At 42.4% G+C, this 24,974-nt stretch overlaps 2 long non-coding RNA genes across 2 annotated transcripts in view; one reads left to right on the top strand and one right to left on the bottom strand.

The window, feature by feature from the left end:
• The window catches only part of LINC01726 (long intergenic non-protein coding RNA 1726), a 92,799-nt gene extending 76,048 nt beyond the window's left edge, over positions 1 to 16,751 (top strand). Inside the window, exons 2-5 of the long non-coding RNA NR_109878.1 lie at positions 96 to 189; positions 1,112 to 1,195; positions 14,861 to 15,186; positions 16,267 to 16,751. This is a non-coding gene — a long non-coding RNA (long intergenic non-protein coding RNA 1726). The remainder of the gene's footprint in view (positions 1 to 95; positions 190 to 1,111; positions 1,196 to 14,860; positions 15,187 to 16,266) is intronic.
• The window catches only part of LINC01727 (long intergenic non-protein coding RNA 1727), a 45,699-nt gene continuing 32,540 nt past the window's right edge, over positions 11,816 to 24,974 (bottom strand). Inside the window, exons 2-4 of the long non-coding RNA NR_109880.1 lie at positions 14,855 to 14,990; positions 12,011 to 12,155; positions 11,816 to 11,876 (exon numbers count right to left, since the gene is read on the bottom strand). This is a non-coding gene — a long non-coding RNA (long intergenic non-protein coding RNA 1727). The remainder of the gene's footprint in view (positions 11,877 to 12,010; positions 12,156 to 14,854; positions 14,991 to 24,974) is intronic.

The following is a 24,974-nucleotide window of genomic DNA, read 5'->3' as shown; positions in this document are numbered from 1 at the left end:
TCTATTGATTTTAATTTCCTAAGGAGGTCTCCCCAGGAGCCTTCAGAGGGGCTCTAAATTGTCCTGATTTCTCTCTATTTCTATGTCATCCACAGAGAAAATGAAAAGAATGGCATGATCAGAAGTTGAGCAGTGTACATCCTGCACAGCCAAATGCAACAGGTCTTTTCCAGAGTCTGCTGCCACTCGGTAACCTCCTGTGTTGGAACTTCTCATTCCTATACCTCTTGTCTTCCTTTTTTGGATTTACTCTGTAATTTTGATGGAACACACACCTTGAATAGCTTTTGGTGGTGGTTCAGCTGGGAGTAGAATTCTAGTTGGAGATCATTTTTCTTCACTAGTTTGAAAGCATGCTTCATTGCCTTCTAGTTGGCATTGAGAACTTCAAAGCCTTCCTAATCCTAGGTTCTTTATAAGCCTCTCTATAGATGTAGGTATAGATATAGATATAGATAGATATACGTATACCTACAGATATAGATAGATATACGTATACCTACAGATATAGATAGATATACGTATATCTACAGATATAGATATACGTATACCTACAGATATAGATAGATATACGTATATCTACAGATATAGATATACGTATAACTATAGATACAGATAGATATACGTATATCTACAGATATAGATAGATATACATATATCTATAGATATAGATAGATATACCTCTTCTTTTTGACCACAGTGATGATGTGCCTTGTCATAGGCCTATTTTCACCCATTATGATAGAAACTTGGGGGACCCCTCCAATCTGAAAACTTATGTTCTAAAAAACTTGGAAAGTTTTTTGAATTTTTTCCATTTATTATTTTATTCCATAAGTATTCTTTAATCCTATTTCTGCAACTTCTATTAATCAGATGTTGGGTCTGTTGGACTCGTTCTCTAATTTTCTTTTCTCTTCTAGTTTCCATCTATTTCTTTTTGCTCTGTTTTTTGTAAGAATACCTCAACTTTATCTGGAAACTTATTTTGAGGTTTTCTTTGCTGCTATGTTATTTTCATTTCCAAGAGTTTATTTGTATTCTCTGAACGTTTTTTATAACATCTCGTTCTCTTTTGATTATTGCAGTTTATTTTCTTATCTCCCCAAAGCAGGGGTCCCCAATCCCTGGGATGCAAACCAGGGGCCATAAGCCAGGTCCATGGTGTGTTAGGAACCAGGCTACGCAGCAGAAGGTGAGTGGCTGGTGAATGAGCATTACTGCCTGAGCTCCGCCTCCCGTCAGATCGCTGGCAGCATTAGATTTTCATAGGAGTGTGAACCCTATTGTGAGCTGCACATGCAAGGGATCTAGGTTGTGTGCTCCTTATGAGAATCTAATGCCTGATGATCTGAGGTGGAACAGTTTCATCCCAAAACCATCCCGACCCCCAACCCCCTCAATCCCCCTAGTGGAAACATTGTCTTCCATGAAACCAGTGCCTGGTGTCAGAAAGGTTGCGGGCCACTGCCGTAAAGTATTAATAGTCTGTTTCTAGAGTGTCTTCTTCCTAACTATTCTGTGCCTCTTCTGTCTGATTACTTTCACCTTTATTTTATTCTAAGTCTGTCTTTCTCAACTAGGTTCTTCTTTTGAACCACAGATCATAGAAAATTATTTGTGACTATTTTCTTAATTCCGCCCCCTCAAAGTGGTACATAATAGGATGATTCTATGTCCATCTGGAGGCCTTAGGCTTACTTTCAAGGAAATCCTGATTATTCATGAGACAGTTGTGATATGCTGAATAATGGGCTTCCCATGCCCTAATCTCCAGGACTTGTATATAACAAAAGGAACTTTTCAGATCAAGTTAAGAATCTTCAGATGAGGAGATCATCCTGCATTATCTCAGCAAGACCTAAACTTAATTACCAGGGTCCTTAAAAGAAGGAGGCAAGATCAACAGAGACAGAAGGCCATGTGACAACAGAAGCAAAAATTGGAGTGAAGGGGCCGTAAGCCAAGAAATCTAAGCACCTCCAGAAGCTGGAAAAGGCAAAGGAACATATTCCTTGGACTCTCTAGCAGGAACCAGCCTGGCCAATACCTTGCCTTGACACAGTGAAATTGATTTCAGACTTCTAGCCTCCAGACCTGCAAGAAAATAAATGTGTATTGTTTCAAGCCCCAAGTTGATGGTAATTCGTTATAGTAGTCATAGGAAATGAATCCCATTAGTAACTCTTAGTTTTCTGCTAGCATTTCAGAGTAAGGAACTAAATGCTAATTGGAAGATCAGAGTGCAAGAACCACACTCAGCATCTGCAGCTCCACTGTAGGAGACTCCAGATGGGCCATGTTTCTGGGAAACTGCTGATTTCAGTACCTTTAACTCTTTCTTCTTTGGCTGGACAGACTCCCGAGAGAACACTCTCCAGGTCTCCTGACTGGAAGGTGAAGACTGACTGCAGCATCCTGGGAGCCAGGTCAGGAAAGCGGGCCGAGGCTCGTCAGCATCCAGCTGTCCCTCATCGCACTGCTGCAGTGCACAGCCCAGGTGTCCAGAGACCATGCCTTACCCTCTCCAGCCAGTCTTTGCTAAGAGAGGTGGGCAGTGGCCTGGCTGCCCACAGTGGGGTGAAGACATAGAGATCTGAGTGCTTGCTAAACACATCCTTCTTATTTGAGTCTTTCTGCCTTACCCCCAATTTCAGAGGTACCTGCTGCCCCTAGTTCCCAAGTTTTGTGGAATTTGCAGCACACATCTGCTGTTTTATAATTTTCCCCACTACGGCCTTCTGAGCTTTGTTTTCTTTCATCAGTTACCACTCATCTGTCTGTATTCCAACTCCCAAACCATGTTGTTGTCATTTCTTCTCCCATTTTTTCCATTGTAGTCGGTTTTGCCTTTTTCAAAACAATCCATTGCTTGTTATTATTCCAGTGGGACTTTAGGAGGAGAAAAATGCAGAGACATATGTTCAATCAGCAAACTTCACCTAGGAAAGTTTTTAATTCATTTATCCATCTTATATCTCATTTGTTTTTTGGTTTTTGTTTTTTTTAATTTAGAGACAGAGTCTCACCTGTCACCTGGGCAAATACAGTGGTGTGATCACAGCCCATTGCAACCTCAAATTCCCAAGCTCAAGAGATCCTCCCACCTCAGTTTCCTAAGTAGCTGAGACTACAGGTGCACGCCACCACACCCAGCTAAGTTTTTAATTTTTTGTAGAGATGGGGTCTTGCTTTCTTGCTCAGGCTGGTTTTGAACTCATGGCCTCCAGCTATCACCCCACCTTGGCCTCTCAAAGTGCTGGGATTACAGGTGTCACCCACCACCCCCAGCCTTATGTCTCATTTCTATCTTAATAACATCTATGTAAGATGGGTGAAGACCATATTCTCATTCCCATTTCATGAAAAGTGAGCCTCAAAGAAGTCATATGCTTTATCCAAGGATAAGAAATGTGGGGCTCTGAGTCCTGGTCTGGGATTCCATGGGCCAAGAGGTGCTATCAGTCACATTCTGTCACTGTCACAGAAACCTGCAATACCCCAGAACAGACATGGGGAAGGTCAGAACATAGAGACGGAGGCAGTGAAAACAATTGAGGATGCTAAATTGTCTCAGAAGTTTCATTGAGGCCAAATTTCAGAAAGAAACAAAGAAAGAAAAGAAACAAGACACAGAGATAGGGAGGGAGGGAGGAAGGAAGAAAGGAAAAAATAAGAAAGAGAAAGGAAAGAAGGAAGGAAGGAAGAAAGGAAGGAAAAAAGGAAGGAGAAGGGAAGGGAAGGGAAAGGAAGGGAAGGGAGGGAAGGAAGGGAAGGGAGGGAAGGAAGGGAGAGAAAGAGGGAGGGAGGGAGGGAGGGAAAAGGGAAGAAGGGGGAAAAGGAAGGAAGAAAAGAAAAGAAGGAAGTAAGCAAAGAAGGAAGGAAGGAAGGAAAGAGAGAGAGAGAGTCTGGCACAAATGAGAATTCCCCATGAGAAAGCAATCCCAGGAATGTTAATAAATTTTTGAATGAAAGTCAAAGCTTGGACTTTTATTGCATGTAAAATTATCCAGTCACTCAAAAATATCTATTGAACAATTTGCCAGTTATTGAGCTATTATCTCTAAGCTCCAAACTTATCCTTTTCTACCCAGCTTTGTAATGCCAGGGCTAGAACTCTGCATCCACCATTCTGCCCAGCCAGCTGCTCCTTGGGATCCACCAAGAGTGAGTAGTAAAAGGAGACCGTGAGGCTGGGGAAGGGAAAGTGGCCCTCTTCTTCCTGTTCCTGAGTACTTCCTGCTCCTGAATACTTCCTGTTCCTGAGCACTTCATGTTTCTGATTAGCTCCTATTCCTGAATACTTCCTCTTATTGTCTGCATCACTTCCTCAATGATAACCCAGGCACTGGAAGTTCTTTCCTGTAGCAGTGACTCCATCCAGTTTGCAGTTTTTACAGTATACACAGACCCAGTTTCAATGCGGCCTCACTCAGATATCTTAGTCCCAGCTCCATGGGGCCCCTCCTCTGAGCTTCTACATTTTAATAGTTTTCTGTTCTTCCTTCTATTTCATCACCCCTAGGGGAAGTAGCTATTTCCTGCAGTTGCCACCACCATGATTTCTTAGAGTTCTCTTTTTGCCTTTCTGCGAAAGAACCCAGTTAACAATTTTTATATAAAATTATGCCTGTTAAAAGGTATGGTTTTATCTCCTGACTGATGAAAGCACTCACTATGAACCACCACTAAAGCTCTATATTAGGTAAAAATCTGGGAAGAAAGAGTCCCCGCTACATAAATGCTGACACATTGCCAAAGGATGAGAAGGTGGCTTTCCTAGATGAATCAGGCTTTGTATGTATGCTGCATTGACCAAATGTTTGGACCAGTGCAGTTTGTGGTTCCCATGGACAGTGTCCCTTAACTCCAAGAAAATGACCTCAGATATCAAGTGCCCCAGGGCTGTCTCTGATGTGCCAGGAGACAGCATGAATCTTGGACAATGGTGCTATCAATTTTCTGTAAGTCAGCCAGGATGATGGCTTTGCTCAGTAAACAGATTTCTATTTGAGCACTTTCAAAAGCCAGATTCATTCTTTCAGGCATGGTTGCTATATGTTTCTGTGCTAGGCAGGTTATTTTATAGCTGCAGAACCAACAGAACATTTCAGATCTCATCAGAGTTCCCTGGACGGCTGTAAAATGTCTTCTTTAAATGTCCTCAGGATCCACATGTGAGACTGAACCAGTTTTTCAGGTTGGGAAAGCCAGTGCTGGAAAGGAAGAGGCAGTTTCCGGCAGCCACAGTTACTCAGAGCTCAGCTCTGGCCTCTGAAAGCTATCTCCTTTTCTTCCTGGGTCAGACTTATGTGTCATTTTGTTAAGACACATTAACCCCCATGGCTGGTTTTGTCTGTGTCTCCTTCCCACCCTGTCTCCACTAGAATGAGCTTCTTGAAAACAAGGCTAGGGTCTTGTTTATTTGTCAGAAGTGCAGCCTGGTACCTACAGCCTAGCTGATACTCTTGTTTTTCTAGAGCTGGAACAAGCTGAATTGAGCATGATAATTCCTAGTGGAAGTTTTAAGCACTATGTAGGAACATGACTCCATGCTCTGATAACCACACTCTATAAATTTTTGTGGGTACATACATAGTAGGTGTATGTATTTATGGGGTACATGAGATATTTTTACATAGGTATACAATGTGTAATAATCACATCAGGGTACATGGGGTACCCATCACCTCAAGTATTTATCTTTTCTTCATGTTATAAACATTCCAGTTATAATCTTTTAGTTATTTTTAAATGTATAATCAAATTATTATTGACTAGTTACCCTGTTGTGCTACCAAATATGAGATCTTATTCATTCTATCAATTATTCAATTGACAGAACATCCTTCGTTCAATTATATTTTGGTACCCATTAACCATCCCCACTTCCTTCCCCACTACCCTACCCCCACCATCACTACTCTTCCCAGCCTCTGGCAACCATCCTTCTACTCTCTATCTCCATGAGTTCAATTGATTTAATTTTTAGCTCCTACAAATAAGTGAGAACATGTGAAGTTTGTCTTTCTGTGCCTGGCTTGTTTCACTTAGTGCAACCACCTCCAGTTCAATCCATGTTGTTGCAAATGATAGAATCTCATATTTCTATGGCTGCATAGTATTCTATTGTGTATATGTACCACATTTTCTTTATCCATTCATCTGTTTATGGACACTTGGGTTGTTTCCAAATCTTGGCTATTGTGAATAGTGCTGCAATAAACATGGGAATGCAGATATCTCTTCAATACACTGATTTCCTTTCTTTCAGGTATATACCTAGCAGTGGGATTGCTGGATCATATGGTAGTTCTATTTTCAGTTTTTTGAGGAACCTCCAAACTGTTCTCTCTAGTGGCTGTACTAATTTACATTCCCAACAACAGTGTACAAGGGTTCCCTTTTCTCCACATCTTTGCCAGCATTTGTTACTGCCTGTCATTTGGATATAAGCCATTTTAACTGGGGTGAGAGGATATCTCATTGTAGTTTTGATTTGCATTTCTCTGATGATCAATGATGCTGAGCACCTTTTCATATACCTGTTTGCCATTTGTATATTTTCTTCTGAGAAACATCTATTCCGATCTTTTGCCCATTTTTAATTGAATCACTAGAATTTTTTCCTTTTGAGTTGTTTGAACTCCTTATATATTCTGGTTATTAATCCTTTGTCAGATGGATATTTTGCAAATATTTTCTCCCATTCTGTGGCTTGTCTCTTCACTTTGTTGACTGTTTCCTTTGCTGTGCAGAAACTTTTTTTTTTTTAGACAGAATCTCACTCTGCTGCCCAGGCTGGTGTGCAGTGGAGCAATCTTGTCTCACTGAAACCTCTGTCTCCCCAGGTTCAAATGATTCTCCTGCCTCAGCCTCCTGAGTAGCTGGGATTATAGGCATGCACCACCACACCCAGCTTATTTTTGTATTTTTAGTAGAGATGGAGTTTCGCCATGTTGATCAGGCTGGTCTCGAACTCCTGACCTCAGGCGATCCACCTGCCTTGGCCTCCCAAAGTGCTGGAATTACAAGCGTGAGCCACCACGCTAGGCCAGAAGCTTTTTAACTTGATATAACCCCATTTTTCCATTTTTGCTTTAGTTGCATGTACTTTTAGAGTATTACTCAGGAAATTTTTGCCCAGACCAATGTCCTGGGGAACTTCCCCAATGTTTTTTTGTTTTTGTTTTTGTTTTTGTTTTTAGTAGTTTCGTAGATTGAGGTTTTACATTTGTCTTTAATCCATTTTGGTTTGATTTTTGTGGGTAGAAAGTGACAGGGGTCTAGTCTCATTCTTCTGCACATGGATAGCCAGTTTTCCCAGCACCATTTATTGAAGAGACTGTTCTTTACCCAGTGTATGTTCTTGGCACCTTTGTCGAAAATGAGTTCACTGACCATGTCTGGATTTATTTCTGGGTTCTCTATTCTGTTCCATTAGTCTATGTGTCTGTTTTTATACCAGTACCATGCTGTTTTGGTTACTATAGCCCTGTAGTACAATTTCAAGTCAGGTAATGTGATTCCTCCAGGATTGTTTTTTCGCTCAGGACAACTTTGGCTATTTTGGTCTTTTGTGGTTCCACATATTATTTTAGGATTATTTTTTTCTGCTTCTCTAAAGAATGTCATTGGTGTTTTGATAGGGATTTCACTGAATGTATACATTGCTTTGGATAGTGTACGCTACAACCTGTAATTGGTTTTGCCCTTTCCACTTCTGCCTCCCCTCCTTTTAATCAAAAGAGGGAGAGAGAATGGGCTGGACATTCTTTCCCATCCATGTCCTCAATGAAATGAAAAAGCCTACAGAAAGAGCTGAGGATAGGAGTACAAGGGCCGCCAGTGATCCCAGAAATAGATAGAGGCAGCCCAAGATGAAAGACACCTTCAGGCAAGAACACACTTCTCTATCCGCTTCTCTCTCTGTTTAAAATTGAGCCCTTCTGACTTTCCTAATAATAAAAATGCAAAATTTTAAAGATCATAAATCATCTTTTTCATCTATGAGATTTGATAGTTACTTATTAGCATTATTAACAGTAATAGGTATTAATAGTATTATTAACAGCCAATATATATTGAGATTGACTTTTAAAATTCACCTATAACATTTACAAAGATAAAAAAAATGGGGGGCACTAAACATATTTTAGAATGGGTTAAAAAATAAAAAACCTGGCAATACCAAGCACTGGCAAGGACGCAGAGCAACTGGAACTCTCAGAAATTGCTGGTGGAAACGCAGACTGGCTTGGCTGCTCTGGAAGAGGCTTGACAGCTTTTAAAAAGTGAAACATACACTTACTGTGTGACTCAGCAATCCCACTCCGAGGCACCTACCCAAGAGAAATGAAAACTTACGTTCATGCAAGAAAACCCTATACATAAATGTTTATGCAGCTCTATTCTTAATCAACAAAAACTGGACACAACCCATTTGTCTTAATGGGTAAATGGATAAGCAAACCGTGGTTCATCCACATGATGGAATATCTACCACTCAGCAATAAAAAGGAACGAATTATTGATGCATGCAACAGCTGAATCTCAAAGGCATTATGCTAAGTGAAAGTAGAAGCCAGACTCAAAAGGCTGCATATTGTGCGATCTCATTCTTGTAACATTCTAGAAGAGGTAAAACTATGAAGACAGAGATAAGGTCAGCAGCTGTCAGGGATGAAGGATGTGTTTGACCACAAACAGGAAGCACAAAGTAGCTTCTGGGCATGAAACTGTATATTTTCTCCCCAGTTTTACTGAGGTATAGCTGACAATTAAAAATTGTATATATTTAAGGTGTGTAACTTGATGATTTGGAGTTGTTCTGTATCTCAATTACAGTGGTGGCTTCACAAACCTATACCTATATTAAGATTCCTACAACTACACAAAAAACGCCAACTTTATTTTATATAAATTTTAAAACTAATAATAATAAGAGAGATTAAATATTAATAAATATATAAACAAAGATGGGAGGGCTCCTGGAGAAATGGCTGATGCCAGGCCTGAGGCAAGGAAAATGCAAGATGAGCCTGGAGCATCTCGTGCCAGAGAGCAGAGAGGGGCTCAGAGGACACAGGTCCAGCTTGAAGGGGCTGCCACTTGCCAAATTTGGGATGATCTGGCTGTCAAAATGGATAGTTACAGAAATACACTGGATAGAGAAAGAAGCCTTGAGTACAATCTGATACTAAAAAAGTTGAGGGATAGGATAAGAAGTTTTTCTTTATAGAAGAGTGATAACTTTTTTTAAAAGTAGAAAGAATGGGAAATGAAAGAGCACTTTATAGCCGGCAAAACAGCAACTGATCCAGGCAAGAATGATCAATAGATACTAAAATCACTGGGTAAGAGATTGCTGGGAAGCACGATATTCTGTCTCAAAGTATCACCCAGTAGGTCACTTAATAATCACAAAAGATCAGGGTACATTTCCAATGGAGAAATATAGCAGACACTCACTTAACTGAGTGATCAAAGTTAATGTCACAAATTGTGGACAAATTGACATCTTGTTGTTCCTCCTGATATGACGCCCTGAGAAGGAAGCAACAGCATCTATATAATATGCCTGCCAACAATATTTATGCTAAATCTAATCCTGAGGCTCAATCAGGTAAATCCAGGTCTAAGTACACTCTATAAAACTCTTCAAAATGCCAATGTCATGAGAGACCACAAAAAGACTGGAGATCTGTTCTGGATTCAAGAGACATGACTGCGAAACTCAATATGTGACCCTTGATTCCATTCTGGATCAAGACAAAAATCTGTTAAGTACAGACAGTCCCCAACTTACAATTGTTCAACTTACAATTCTTCAGTTTTACAATGGTGCAAAAGTGATAGGCATTCAGTGGAAACCGTATTGTGAGAACCCATAAAACCATTCTGTTTTTCACTTTCAGTACAGTATTCCATACATTACATGTGATATCTAACACTTTATTATAAAATAGGCTTTGTGTTGGATAATTTTTTCCAACCGTAGGCTAATGTAAGTGTTCTGAGCACATTTAATGTAGGCAAAATTGTTATAATATTCAGCAGATTTAGTGTATTAAATGCATTTTTACTTACATTTTTTCAACTTATTATGGGTTTATGGGATGTAATCTCATTTTAAGTCAAGAAGTGTGTTTATTCAATGACTTGATATAGATTCTGTATTAGAAAACTGTATTTTAGCAATGTATTTTAGCAATTCCCAAGTGTACCAATTATATTATGCTTAGGTAAGGGTGTGTCTTTGTTCTTAAGAGACACACACCAAAGCATTTAGGCATCAAGTGTTATGATGTCTATAGATAATTCCAAAGTGTGATAAAAACTAATAGAGAGCAGATGTGGCAAAAGGTTAACACCGGGTGGATCTACATTTGGTGAAGCACTTACAAGCACACATTGCACTTGTTCGTACAATTTTTTTCAAAGGCTGTTTTTTTTTTCCTAAAGAAAAATAAAGGAGAGAAAAAACTGATGAGGAAGCCTAGTATTGACAAGGTCGTGGGGCACTGGAAATTCTCCTGCGCAGCTGTTGGGAGTGTGAGCTGGCACATGCTGCCTGGAGGGAAGTCGGGCACATAGTAAAGCATAAATCGAGCATACACTTTGACCCACAAACTCCACAGCCCACCGCTTTCAGGTTAACTTAGAGAGAACTCACTAACGTGCAAAGATGTATATGCCCTAAAGTTTCACTGCAATCTTATTTTTTATACCAGAAAAGTAGGAAATGGCTTAATGTCCATCACTGGAAAACTGGTAAGTAAATTATGTTCATTTCTAGCCTACTAGTCAAGATCCTGGGCTCTGAGGTCAGATACCCTGGCAGTGCTGATCAATTTTCTTGTGCCACAGCCTGTTCATCTGCTTAATGGGCATAATACAAACTCCCGTTCTGTAGAGTCATTATGAGATTATGCAAGACCATGTATGTGCCTGGCATATAGCAGGTATGAAATCAGTATTATATACCATTAGCTTTATGTAATTGATAAAAAACGATGAGGCCTACCTTTATTTATGGACCTGGAAAGACGCTTCTGTCATAGTGTTGAATGAAAAAGTAGGTTATGGGATAGAGGAGTACAAGGTCTGATTGCACTTGTGTAAAAGTACATTTTTAATTCCCGTTTGAATATATTCGTAGCAAGATGTCTGGAAGATTGGCCACCTAAGCGTTAATAATGGGTCCCTAAGGTGAGGACGCTTCCAGTCTTTTATTTCCTTCTTTGTACATTTCTATATCCTTCCTTTTTTTCTTTTTTTCTTACAACACATGTAACAGTTTTACAATCAGATTCTATTTAATTGTAAAAATATTAATAAATCAGATCCATGGATCTTGCCTGCTCAGACCTGACTTTGTCTGAAGGGTTGACCAGATGCCCTGCTGATTGAGACCCCAGAGGCTACTTGCCTACCTTTGGTACAAGTCACTGTCCCTTCTCTCAGCCTGAGTGTTCTCTCTGCCAGGCACGCCGGAGGCATTTACGTGTTCAGCTCTTTGTTCTCTCCATGGGATTATGTTTTCCCCACATTTCTACCTCATTTTCACGCAGCCTGCAGCGTGTGTGTGAAGCATGTGTTTGGCTCAAGGGATGACAACACACCTGCAGAGGATTCACTGAAGCCTACCTTGGGGGGCACTCAGCTCTTTTCTGGGTGTTTTCTAAGGGCATCCACACTGTCCGGCAGAAATCCAGTTTGCAGCACCGTTTCCTCCCCAAGCCTGGTTTTCTGCAGCCTGGTCCCTCACCAAGGTGCCAGGATTGAGCTGACCACGAGATGGCAGTCTTTCCTTGCATCAGGCTGGCCGAAGCCTGCATCCCCAGACCTGTGTGCTTCTGAATCCAGCTTCTGTGCTGCCCGAAGCAATTTCAGCAAAGAGATTATTGACTAAAGAGACCTTCACTAAAGAAGAAAACAGTAGGATTAAATATTCGGAAACAGAAGAACTCGAAGAAGAAAATACAATTTCCCAACGTCACATGCTCACCCATCCTTCTCCTCTTCAACAAAAGTCACAACAGTTGTGTGTCCATTTGCAGTCTGGGGTAGAATTAGAATTGCCAAGCATCCCAGTGAGGTCTGAATCCACATTCCTTTATTTCTTTGTGCCACTCAAAGCCAGATATTGATGTCTGAAAACAAGATACATAAGCTTCATTATTTAAGTGTCTCTTCCTTAAACAAGACCGCTTTAATACTTAACAAGGTAGGGAAGCTACATAATTTAAAATCTATGCGACAAGAAATAAGAAATTATTTGTAGCGGGCTCCACTTTTACACCCACCAACAAAGAAAGACATTCACAATTTTTTGCCTTCCCAGGGCCCCAAAATACAACACAGGCCTGTTCTCCTGCTCCGGGCAGAAGCCGCAGCTGAAACTGTTCTTTATCAGCTTTTCTTTCTCAATATTTACCAACCAATAAATCTTTTTTCCCCTAAGACAACTGACATTCGAATCCTGTTCATGTGGAGGCTTGTTATCCAAATAATATTAAATAAACTGCTTCATTTTCTACTGAAAAAGTATGAAGATGGTTTTTGTTTTCTTTGCTGGTCAATATTGCAGAAGAGAGGGGCTGCTCTCATCCATGGGAAGGACAGCTGCCTGCCTGCAATGAGCACATCTCAATCTCCGAGCCTCCTGCAGAGGTGCCTCCTCTCTGTCCTGTCCTGGAGCCATGAAAGCTCATCTTCAGGCTCCCACAGTCCCTGCTCTGTGGCACCAGCAGGGTCGAGCCTGTCTGTACCATTGTCACGGTCATAACTGAGGACCCCATAGAATGTTGCCGGAGCTGCAGGAGTATTTTGCCCATTTTCCAAAGTGGAATAAGTCAGTCTTTTGAGAAAAATTACAATTCTGTTGTTCCACAAGCCAATTCCAGCTTCCTTTTTTTTTTAGACAAGGTCTCACTCCATCGCCCAGACTGGAGTGCAGTTGCGTGGTCATGTCTCACTATAGTCCCACGTGATCTTCCCACCTCAGCCTCTCAGGTAGCTTGGGATTACAGGTGCACACCTCCACACCCAGCTAATTTTTTATATTTTTGGTAGAGATGGAGTTTCACCATGTTGCCCAGGCTGGTCTTGAACTCCCGGGCTCAAGCAATCCTCCTGCCTCAACCTCTCGAAGTGCTGGGATTCCAAGCATAAGCCAGGGCGCCCAGCTCAGCTCCCGCTCTTTCCTCTGTCAGAGGAGTGTGTAGTGCCAATGGTCACAGAGCTGGCCAGAGGGGTCAGGAGGGAGGACGTCTGGGCTAGCTCTTCTGCTAACTTCCTGGGAGGATCAGCAATGAGACTTGCGTCTCTGGGCCTCAGTTTCTCCATTCATACAAGGAAATGTTGGACCTGACTTTCTTTTAAACCTTCCCATGTTGCTACTTATCAAGGATCTGAAATAAAGGAGGAGGCTTTGGAGCTGGCTTGGTCTTAGTGGAAATTAAACATCTGAGTCCCTAAAGAAACTTCTAGGGAAGAAAAAAAAGCTTTTGAAGATTAATAGTAGCAGATAATATTTACTTGGAGATGTCTCTGTCCTAGGTACCATTCTAAATTTTGGTCATATGATTTAATTTAACTCCCATAACACCCCCATATTTTTGTACCCACTTGACACTCAAGGGAGCTGAAGCACTGAGGGGTGCCTGACTTCCCCAGGGATCGCATCGCTTGGAAAGATTGGAAAAATGGGAAGCCAGGTGGCTTGGCTCCAGGGTTCATTCTCTTAACTTCCTAACCCCACAGCTGGCAGCAAGCCCAGGAAACCTCTGAGGGCTGCCGCAGCCAGGGTGGGTTGTGGGGTGGAGCTGGAGCTAGAGGCTCTGGCAGTTGGAGTCATGGGCCCTGGCCTTGAGCACTGCTCTGTGAGTGCTCTTGTCTCTTTCTCTCGTCTTTATTTGGCCTTTACTCAGATAGACGTTGCCGGGGTGATAGTCATGCTCATCAGTATACCCAGATTTCTGACATGATTTTATTACTACATAAATAAGACATGAGTAATGTTTCCTCATTAAAAAAAAAACTCCAAGAATTACAAGTAAGACTAAAAATCCCCTTTGAGCACCACTGCTCTCGGTTTCCTCCTCTCCTACTACAGGAGATATTGTCATCGTTTTGGATGTTGCACTACAAATTATTTTCTATGAGGTATGTACCCTTAGAAAACCTGTGGTCACGCTTTGTAGTTTATGAGGTTCTGTTTCCTTCAGCAATGCTATCGTGCTGCGTGTATTATTTGGAAATCGCTTTCCTCGGTCAACAGTGCATCTTGAGACACTTCCATGTTCCCACTTACAGATATGTCTTGTGAGCATCCCATTGTATGAATGAATCTGAGTTTATCTGTCCATCCCCGTTTTGATGGCCATTTAGGGCATTTCTAAATTCGTATTTTTCCAGAAATTGCCATAATGTATTTCCTTTCACATACTGCCTCATGCATGTGTACAAATATTCCTTTGGTCTAAATGATGAAAGTGAAATTGCTGGGTATCATCATATTTTATTAAACTGACATAAATATCATATGAGATTTTTATAAAGGCTCCCCCCAAAAATGTTGGGATTTGAAACTCTTTATTAACCTCAAATTGCTATAAGTGGTAACAAAACATCAGTAAGATTTGAGGGCCATGAGATGCAATAATGGTGAGAGAGGAGTGGGTGATGCCTGTGAATTGTAAGGCTATGCTTTTCCCTTCCACGCAAGAAAGCACAGCAGAATGAAAGAGGGGTGAAAATGACGTGAATCATGAAAACTCTTAAATGCATTAGAATTGGAATTTTTTAAGTAACATACTTGCAAACATGGCTGAGATCTGCTGTGATTTACCTGCAGGATCCGTCCTTCTGCACAACCCATGCTGTCAACCAGGAGCTATTCTGTCCCCACCGACTCAACGAGGCAGCAACCAGTTCTGTACATGAAGATTCCAAGGGATCCCAAATGGCACGTGTTAGAACAGACACTATCCAAGAAGGAAAGGACATATCTGTCAACCATGCTACAAGTGTCATGCCACCATGGAAGTTGATTGCTAGATACTGAGCTGGCATACACCACACACACACACACACACACACACACACACACACACACACGCTGAAGCATCCTCAGAATTCCTGCAACTCCAAGGTTCAAACGTCCAAGAAGAATACTGTGGGGTGAGGACTGTGTGCTTGGCCAGGCTCTTTGGAGCCTACTTGGTGTCTCTGAAGGACTGGAAATAGAATTTGCTTTCAGTTAAAGGAGCCCTAATACCAGTCTCTGCCAGAATGCCAGAAGTTACAAATCCTCATGCCCTGTCCACCCTCTCTCCAGTGGAGACTCTTTGTGTGTGTGTGTGTGTGTGTGTGTGTGTGTGTGTGTTTTCCTGTTCAGTGTTTTTTCTTTTTCTTTTTTTTATTATACTTTAAGTTTTAGGGTATGTGTGCACAATGTGCAGGTTAGTTACATATGTATACATGTGCCATGTTGGTGTGCTGCACCCATTAACTCGTCATTTAACATTAGGTATATCTCCTAATGCTATCCCTCCCCCATCCCCCTACCCCACAACAGGCCCCAGTGTGTGATATTCCCCTTCCTGTGTCCATGTGTTCTCATTGTTCAATTCCCACCTATGAGTGAGAACATGCAGTGTCCGGTTTTTTGTCCTTGCGATAGTTTGCTGAGAATGATGGTTTCCAGCTTCATCCATGTCCCTACAAAGGACATGAACTCATCATTTTTTATGGCTGCATAGTATTCCATGGTGTATATGTGCCACATTTTCTTAATCTGATCTTAAGATCAACCTCAGGCTAAAAAACAAAGAGTGAACAAAGTCAGTCTGTATGGAACCCTAACATTCTCTGTCTTGGCGCTTCCCCTGCTGAAGACAGCCCACTTCTCTTACTTCTTACACCTGGGTCCCACATATTTTACGGCTTTTTCCTTCGCACCTTTCCCATTCCAACTCTGCCTTCCTGAAAATAGCTTCTGTTTGCTCTCTAGACCTGTGCTAGTCAGTGAGTGGTCCTGGGCACCTGAGCTTGTGCACTGAAGATTTGTGCTGATCTGCAGTGAGATGGGTGGAGATTTGGAGGGCAACCACTTAGAGACTTTGATACCAATTAAGCAGGGTAACTTTAGGTCTGTTAAATCTAATAATAATTTTAGGCTTGAATTTTAGTGTATATTTTTATTTCATTTTCTTAGTAATTCATTGTCATTGCATTGTATTTTTATTTTTATTGTTTTAGAGACAGAGTCACTCTGTAGCCCATGCTGAAGTGCAGGGTTGCCATCACAGCTCACTGCAGCCTCAAACTCCTGGGCTCAAGTGATCCTCCCTCCTTGGCCTCCAAAGCACTGGGATTACAGGAGTAAGCCACCACACCCAGCCTGTTATTGTATTTTATGAAAATGCTCACCTATGGTGGATTGAAAATGCACTTAAACATCTATTTTTAAGTCAAGATGTCCTCTCTCTGTCTCTTAACTTTCCATGACTTGACTAGCAGGCACATTCAAGGTACTTCATGCATCATGAAGCAGATGGAACAGGCGGCTCTCCATTCTAGAGATCCCTGGCTGTAAGGGTCTGTCCCTTTGCTAGTGTGGGAGGTCAGCCTGCCTTGCAGAATGAACCATACGGATTCAAAGACTAATCCCAAATATGCCAGGATTGTCACTTTCATTTCATTAGACTTTCTAAGCCCAATGTAAGTGTTGTTTATGCTGAATGGTTGTGTTCCCTACACCTGGTAGAAAAGAAGCCAAGTTCATGAAAAGGCAGGACAGCAGGTGGTTTGTATGATCGTGTGTTTAGATAAAGCCACCTGCTTGTAAAGAGGCACCTTGGATCTTTTGGGCTTTTCCTCTCCAGTGTTCCAGGAGGAGTGCAATTTTTTAAAAGTCCACATGTGAAGACTTTGCCTTTTGAATAAGACCTCCAAGAGTAACCAAGATTTTGCAAGGTTTGTCTCAGCCCTTAAGGGCAAACATGACCAAACATTTGCTTGAACTGATGCTCCAGTTGTCTGTTGCTGGGTACCAAACCTCCACAAAACTTGGTGGCTTAAGCCCACAGCAAGTTTGTTTGGTTCCTGAAGATGCCATTTGCACAAGGCTCTGTAGGAAGAGTGCATCTCTGCTCTACTAGGCATCAGCTGGGCAGCCCAAAGACTGGAATGGAGTCATCAGAAAGCCCCTCACTCATGGCTGGTGCCGGCCCTGGGGAGATGCTAACAGCTGGGGCTGGACAAGCAGGGGGTCCTCCCTGACCCCAGCATCTCTCTCTGTCCTTATGTGGTCTCTCCACATGGTCTCTCCAGCCCAGCAGCTTCAGGGCAGTTGGACTTCCCATGTGTGCCAGGCTCCCAAGGCACTTGACCCAAAGAGAGAACCATGAGGAAACCCTACCACCTTCCATGACATAGCCCCAAGGTCACACATTCTATTCACCAAGGTAGTCAACAAAGCCATACCCTTGCAACAAAGTGCAAGGGGAGGGAAACAGACACTACCTCTTGGTGCAGATGAGGCAAGGTTCTGGAAGAGCATGTGGAACAAAAATACTGATGCAACTGCCTTTGAAAAATACAGTCGATCACCACAGATACACAGCTACAGAAGAAAAACGTGCAAAGAGTTCACTGACAGTGTCGAGCAAGGCTAGGTGTGAAGGTGCTCGAGGGGCAGTCAGCTCTGCTTCTCCAGCTTTGATGCCTGCGGTGGCCCAGATGTAGCTGAGAATCCCCCAACCCACTGTGGTCATGGCAGGCACTTGAAGCCACCTCTTCAAAGAAGAATGAATTGATGGGACCCTTTGCTCTTTCCCACACATTCCACATGCATGTCTGGAGTCAGAGTCATTGCCTGTGGCTCTGACACCAAGCCCAGCTAAATGAGTGGTCTGCCCTGATCTGGCGGGGCCATCCAAATCAAGAGCCCCTGCCTCCATGCAGCCCTCCTTGATCCTTCTCCTCTGGCAGGATGCAACATTCCATCTTTTGTGCCACAGCTGGACCCTCCCATAAGCTCTCTACCCGAGTGTGTTAGCATGTCAGTGCCCTGAGTCATTGGCTTGTGTTCCCCGAATAGCCCATAAGTCTCTCAAGGCCTGAGGCCACATCAGCTGTTTGTCATATGCCTCACTGTGCCTGGCACAGTGACTAGCACACACAGGCCAAGGACTTTTGACTGCTGTATAACAAGAAAAGAACAGGCAAAATCCCAGAGATTTCAAGCTGTTTGTTTTGTTTTCATAAAGAGAAGTTGAAATTTTATTTGGTTTATATTTGTTTCATTGGGAAACCCACTCATATACACACACTTATATGTATCCTTGATGTGGTGAACATGCATTTGTATGTGAGTGTGTATGTCTGTGTGTAAATGTGTGTATGTATATGTGCATATTTTGGGTAAGAATAAGTCTGTGACTGTGTGTATAAGTGTACAAAAAGTGTGTAAGTCTGTATATAAATGTGTTTGTGTGGGTGTGGAAATATTTTTGTGTCTGAGTGTGCATGTGTTTGTGTGTGTCTGCATTGGTTGTTCATGTGTGTTTGTGTGTAAATGTATGTCTGTATGTCTCTGTGCATATGTATTTATGTTTTTGTCTATGAGTACATATATGAATGCATGAATATATGTATGCTTGCATGTGTGTCTACACATGTGCATGTGTATTTGTGTGTGTGTGTGTGTGTATGTGTGTTTGTCTGAGAGCATGCACAAAATCACCCATCCAAGAGGCTGGCAGTGGGTCTCTAGGCCTGGGCCAGGAGGCATCCTGCCTTCATTGGTAATTCCTCCAGCGTCCCAGGAAAGCCATCTTCACTTCCTCTCCGGGACGAGGAGCTAAGCAGAGGTCAAGTGACTTGCCCCAGACCCCACAGCAAGTCGGTGGCGGCTCTGCGAGGGTCTGATTGCCAGGCTCACGCCCCTCTGCAGGCCGAGCTGCCTCGCTGTGGCATGTTGGCACCCGGCCCAGGCCGCGCCGCCCGGCTCTGAGAGCTCCCATTGTGGCCGAGAAGTGGCCGAGTGCCATGGCCTGGCATCCGCAGGTGACGGCAGAGGGAGGAGTGACTCCCGAGGCGACAGGAAAAGGGCACCCCTCATTTTGTGTGGCTAAAGGGTTGGAAATAACAGACGTGTAAAAAGGGGAGGGGGAGAGAGGAAACCAAAGCTAATGAGGAATAATGAAGACGTGGAGAGGGACACACACGGAGAACGGTGGGAGCCGTGGGCAACGCGAGAACCCCGCACTCACACAGCAACAGGAAGCAGAGCCAGCCGGAGGCCGCCGGCTCAGGAAACGTTTTGTTTCCTCCTTTAATTGGTGACCCCGCTCAGAGTTGCTGGAAATGGGCACAGCCCGAGAGACTCGAGTGTGGCTGTGGCAAACAATGGGCTGCTGAATGGCCTGGAAAGGCAGCCAAGAGTGGGCGCAGTCCCAGCGCCAGTGGATCTTAGAGTGGCTCTGCTGGGCACAGAAGGAGGGCTCTGAAACTCTCCCGAATTGTGCTCCCAGCTGGGCTCTCCTGGAAACCCACCTGCACAGAGGTGCCCGTGAATGGGAGAGCTCTCCATGAGAGATGCCCAAACGCCACTGGAAATAGAATCACATGAAGAAAACTGCACTCACCGGAGCATGTCTCATCTAGTGTGGCCAAAGGAGATTTTTTATAATAAGCTTCTAGGGGTAGGGAATCAGAGTTCCCAGGAGTCAAGCTTAGGTAACTACAGGTGGTCAGTGAACTTCTACCTAGAGCGGATGGTGCTGGCTAAGAACTGGCTTTTGTTTTGTGGGCTGGGGCCTGTGAGTTAGGGACTAGGCACAGTCACCTGGGATGGCCAAGAACCTGTCAAGCCACCACCAGCTGCTGCTGTCCAGCACCCCTCCCAGACACCTCTCCTCAAATGAACAAATATTGAAACATCTGTTGAAAGGAACACCAAATTATTCCCCATACCTGGGCTTGGCCAAAAGCAAGACTTGTTCTAATACCAGGAAAATTAACCCAAAGTAGAAATCTTAAAAAAGGGACAAATTGTAGATAGAGACAGGGCATACTATTTGTCTTCCTCTTCTCCTAAGACACCTTGAACATGGAGGAATCAAGGAATAAAAATCTCTTAAGATCAAAGGATAACAGTAAGGAAACCAACAAGCAAAAGATGAGAGGTTTCTAAAAAACAATGCTAGGGCCTGCGTGGCCGGAGTGTATTGATGAACAAGGCTGTGTGAGGGAAACGGTGGCTCAGAAGGCACAGGAGGGGACAGCAGGGAAAGGGCCACCCTGCCAGCAGGACACAGGCTCCTCAGCCAGCAGACCAGGGCTGAGCAATTGAGGAAAAAGGACTGCAAAAGAGGAGAGGAATTAAAAACGTACTCCCAACCCACTGCACCATTCATTTCTTACACCCTGCCCTACTTTTCCTCCAACTCTGAGCACAAAGAGGGCAGGCTGCCCACCCAGCTTGTACCTCTGGCTCCTGGGGAAGAGAAAGACAACAGCGACGACAAAGCTTTCTTTTCTAAATTGAACACGCTTTCTAGGAGTTAGGATCCAGGACTCCTAGAGTGTGTAAAAGCACCCATGGCCATGCCCTCCTCATTCTGGCATTTGGGGGTCCCCAGGCCCAAAACCTCCTTGCCTGCCTCTTCTCTCTAATGTGAAGCCTATCAGTCAGTTAGCCCTGCCCTCATGCAGGCGCCTCACCCAAGCCACACAGCTTACAGCAGCAAAAGTGCACACCAAGTTACCTAGAAAAATGGATCCATGTCTTCCTTCTTAAAAATGAACACCGAAACAGATCACCAAGAATATGGAGAATACTAACTACTACACAAAGCAGAAGCACCAAACAAACAAAACTAAACAACGCCAGAGGAAACAAACACAATTCAGGCAACCAAAGAAGAAATTAAGAAAAAAAAAACTCTAATTAATGACCTCAGAAGGATTTGAGATTATATCACATCTACAAAACAAGAATGAAATGCTCTAAAAAAATGAACAAAAAATAAGAAAGAGCTCTTGGAAATTAAAAATATGTTTTCTGGTTTTGAAAATCAGATGGAAATGTTGAGAAATAATGTCAAGGTAATTTTCTGGAATCCAGAGTAAATACACAATGGCCAAAATCATAATAGAGAAGATACAATGCATAGAGAGTCAATTCAGGAAAATGATCTGAGCATTAGCAGTTTCAGATGAAATGCCGGGGCACGGGGGTAGTGGAGAGGGGATTATCAAAGACATGCAATGACAGAAGAAAGGCTGCCAGAGAATTTAATCTGAATCTTCATCTTTAAATGGCCCACAGCATGCCAGCAAAATGAGTGAAAAAGGATTCAGAACTGTGTACATACTTATGAAATATCAGAATCCCAAGGATATAACGAAAATATAAAATGCTTAAAGACAGAAAACTTAGATCATATACAAAGGATTGAGGATCATACTAACATCAACAATACTGGGTGTTATTAGCCAATGCAGAAAAGTATTGAAGTTTCTATCAGAAAATTAATTTACAATAATTTTATACTCAAATTAATGTATGTGAGAATTTTATACCCAACCAAACTATTATTAAATCTGAGATAAAATAAGCATATTTTTAATAATTCAAGGACTCAGAAGGTAAATTTCCCAATATCTTTTTCACAGAAATTACTTAAGGCTGTGCCACAACAAAAGAAGAATAAAAATTAATAGACTGAAAGAGTCATATACAAAAAAACAGTAGAATGAGCCCTAAAGTGCAACTAAAAGAAATGCAAGGGTGAGAGTTGTAAAGTAGGTCTATAAAGCAAAACTTCAAATCAGAACAGAAAATAAGTAGGCTCCACAAAGAATATATTCATGAAAGACTGGGATGAAACCAACTGATAGAATCAGTAAGAAGTTTAAAAATAGCTGTGATGTGGTGACATATCTCTACAAGAAAAAAATATATAGTAGTTTTCCCTAATTCTCAATGAATATGTTCCAAGAACCCCAGTGGATACCTGAATCCACAGATGGTACTAAACCTTATGTATACTGTTTCTTCTATACAGACCTACAATAAAGCTTAACTTATAAATTAGGGACAGTAAGAGATTAACAACAAAAACTAATAATAAAATAGAAAAAGTATAACTATATATTGTAATAAAAATTAGGTAAGTGTGTTCTCTTTCTTTCTCAAAATCTAAAAACAGTTGACTGCAGGTAACTGAAACTGCAGAAAGCAAAACCTGGGATAAGAGGAGGAGTACTAGGGAAATAAAACTGCACAAGAGAATCAAGCTCGCACTGCAAAACAGACTACACTGTGACATGATTGTGAGAAATCAATGGTGGGTAAAAGGGGGACTCTATTTGCCCTTGGTGCTAGAAACATCCTCCTTTGAGTGATGTAGGATTCTTGGCATGGAACTCATGAAGAAGGAAAGGCAAAACCACTTGGCCCTGCAATTCTAGATAGATATAAAGGCATAATAATGTATACTTAGTTTATTGGTTTTCAACTTTTAGAAACAACTTATAGGGAAAAAAATCTCAAGATTATTCAAATGTTATTACAGAAAGTAAATGTTAGCAACGTAAACACTGTAAAAATGAAGACAGAACTAAAAATACATATAGAAAAGTAGAGAAAAGGTGGAAGAGAAAGGAGGGGAAATATCTGATCTTAGACTGAAAAGAATCAGAAATACAAACTACCATCAGAGAATACTATAAACACCTCTACGCAAATAAACTAGAACATCTAAAAGAAATGGATAAATTCCTGGAAACATACACCCTCCCAAGACTAAACCAGGTAGAAGTCAAATCCCTGAATAGACCGATAACAAGTTCTGAATAGTTCAACCATTGTGGAAGACATTGTGGCGATTCCTCAAGGATCTAGAACCAGAAATACCATCTGACCCAGCAATCGCATTACTGGGTATATACCCAAAGAAATATAAACCATTCTACTAAAGACACATGCACACGTATGTTTATTGCAGCGCTATTTACAATAGCAAAGACATGGAACAACCCAAATGACAATCAGTGATAGACTGGATAAAGAAAATGTGGTACATATACACCATGGAATACTATGCAGCCATAAAAAGAATGAGATCATGTCCTTTGCAGTGACATGGATGAAGCTGGAAGCCGTCATCCTCAGCAAACTAACACTAGAACAAAAAACCAAATACCGCATGTTCTCACTCATAAGTGGGAGTTGAACAATGAGAACACATGGACACAGGGAGGGGAACAACACACACTGGGGCCTGTCGGGGAGTGAGGGGCAAGGGAAGGGAGAGCATTAGGACAAATACCTAATCCATGTAGGGCTTAAAACCCAGATGATGGGTTTATAGGTGCAGCAAACCACCATGCCACATGTATACCTATGTAACAAACCTGCATGTTCTGCACATGTATCCCAGGACTTAAAGTAAAATAAAATAAAAAAGAATTAAGATATAGTGTCTGTACTTGACGGAACAAAAAATAGAAATCCATATATTTTGCTTAAAATTAACTATAAATTTAAAACTAAATCTTTGTTTGGGCTAACCCAGAAGCAGATCCTAAATTAAGGATTCAGCCACAGGTGGTTTATTTGGAAGGTGAATAAAACATCGGTAGAGGAATAGGGAGGTGGGATAGGGAAAGGAAGCAGCCTTGAAAGGGCCCATTATCAAGCCTGCCATCCCTGTGGGTGATCGCTGCACAGGTGGGAAGTCAAGCTCAGATCAATAAATGCAGGTGCAGCCAGCTGGAAATCGGGCCAGTGTGCCCCTGAAGTGGTAAGGGCAGTGGGATATGGTTATGGCAACAACAGCCGCCATGTATGTCTATTACAAATTAGAAAGGGAGACACAGTTCCAAGTAGGCATGTGCCGTGCCATAGTCTAGGACATATCTAGGTAATAGGTGATGCCAAAGCAGAGGGAGGTGAAACTAAATGCTTAGAAGAGGGGATAGAGGAGATAGGCTGATTCACCCTGAGGAACCAGTTCAGGCTAAGGGGTTGGAGGAGCAGCTGTTAAAGAAAGGGGGTTGAGGTCTAAAGATCTCATGAAGAAGGTGGAATACTTCAGAGGGGAGCTGACTGAGTTCTGTTTAAGGAGCAGCCAGAATGCTGAGGGGAGGGAAAGGGAAATGGAGTCAGAGAGTGGAGTGGGAAGGGATTGGGGCTGCCTTTCTATTTCCCTGGAATTAGGGCTACCTTTCTGTTTTCCCAACAGTAATTCTAACTCAGATTTGCAACCACTTGCAGCCACTTCTGATGCTGAAATCCCTACCTCTGGCTAAGAGTAAGCACTCAATCAATATTTGCTGAATGGCTGAATGAATGAATGTGAATCCTATTGGAGTATAACCAGGTATTTCAACTGCAAAACACCCTCTATGAACTGAAGCTGGTTGCACCTTGTGAGGTGCCTGGTTGAGACATTTTGTTTTACCATAGCCATTCTGCTGTTAATAATAACCACAAACATACAATAAACCCCTATGTCTTCGATCTGAGAAAAGGATTGGAGTGTATGTAGTTATTTGAGAGATTACTTCAATAAACATGGGTAGGGGAGTGAGGAAATAAGGCAGGGAAGAGCGCCAATGAGCAAGTTAGTGCTATGAGCAATGGAGGCGCAGCCCTTCCAGCTTGGGAATTTGGGGAGACGGTGTAGAACATGAAGGTGGATTGTTGATTCACAAATTCCCATCCACCATGGTTGAGAGCTGCTTCCAGTGGATCAACGCTTTCCTTCTCCCCCCACCCCACTCCACCCAATCCCCACCTCCAGCCCTCCCTACCCACAGTAGAGCTTTCTTCCCAAGCCCCAGGAAGCCTCAGGTGGAGACGTCATATATGCTTAGGAGGAAGCCCTTGATAGTGAATGCTGAGGGGATATGAATGGGGCACTGACTGCATTTGCTACAGATTACTGAATGCC

Source organism: Homo sapiens, chromosome 20, assembly GCF_000001405.40.
Source record: "Homo sapiens chromosome 20, GRCh38.p14 Primary Assembly".
Classification (NCBI taxonomy): domain Eukaryota; kingdom Metazoa; phylum Chordata; class Mammalia; order Primates; family Hominidae; genus Homo; species Homo sapiens.
This window is presented reverse-complemented; position numbering and strand designations above follow the sequence as displayed.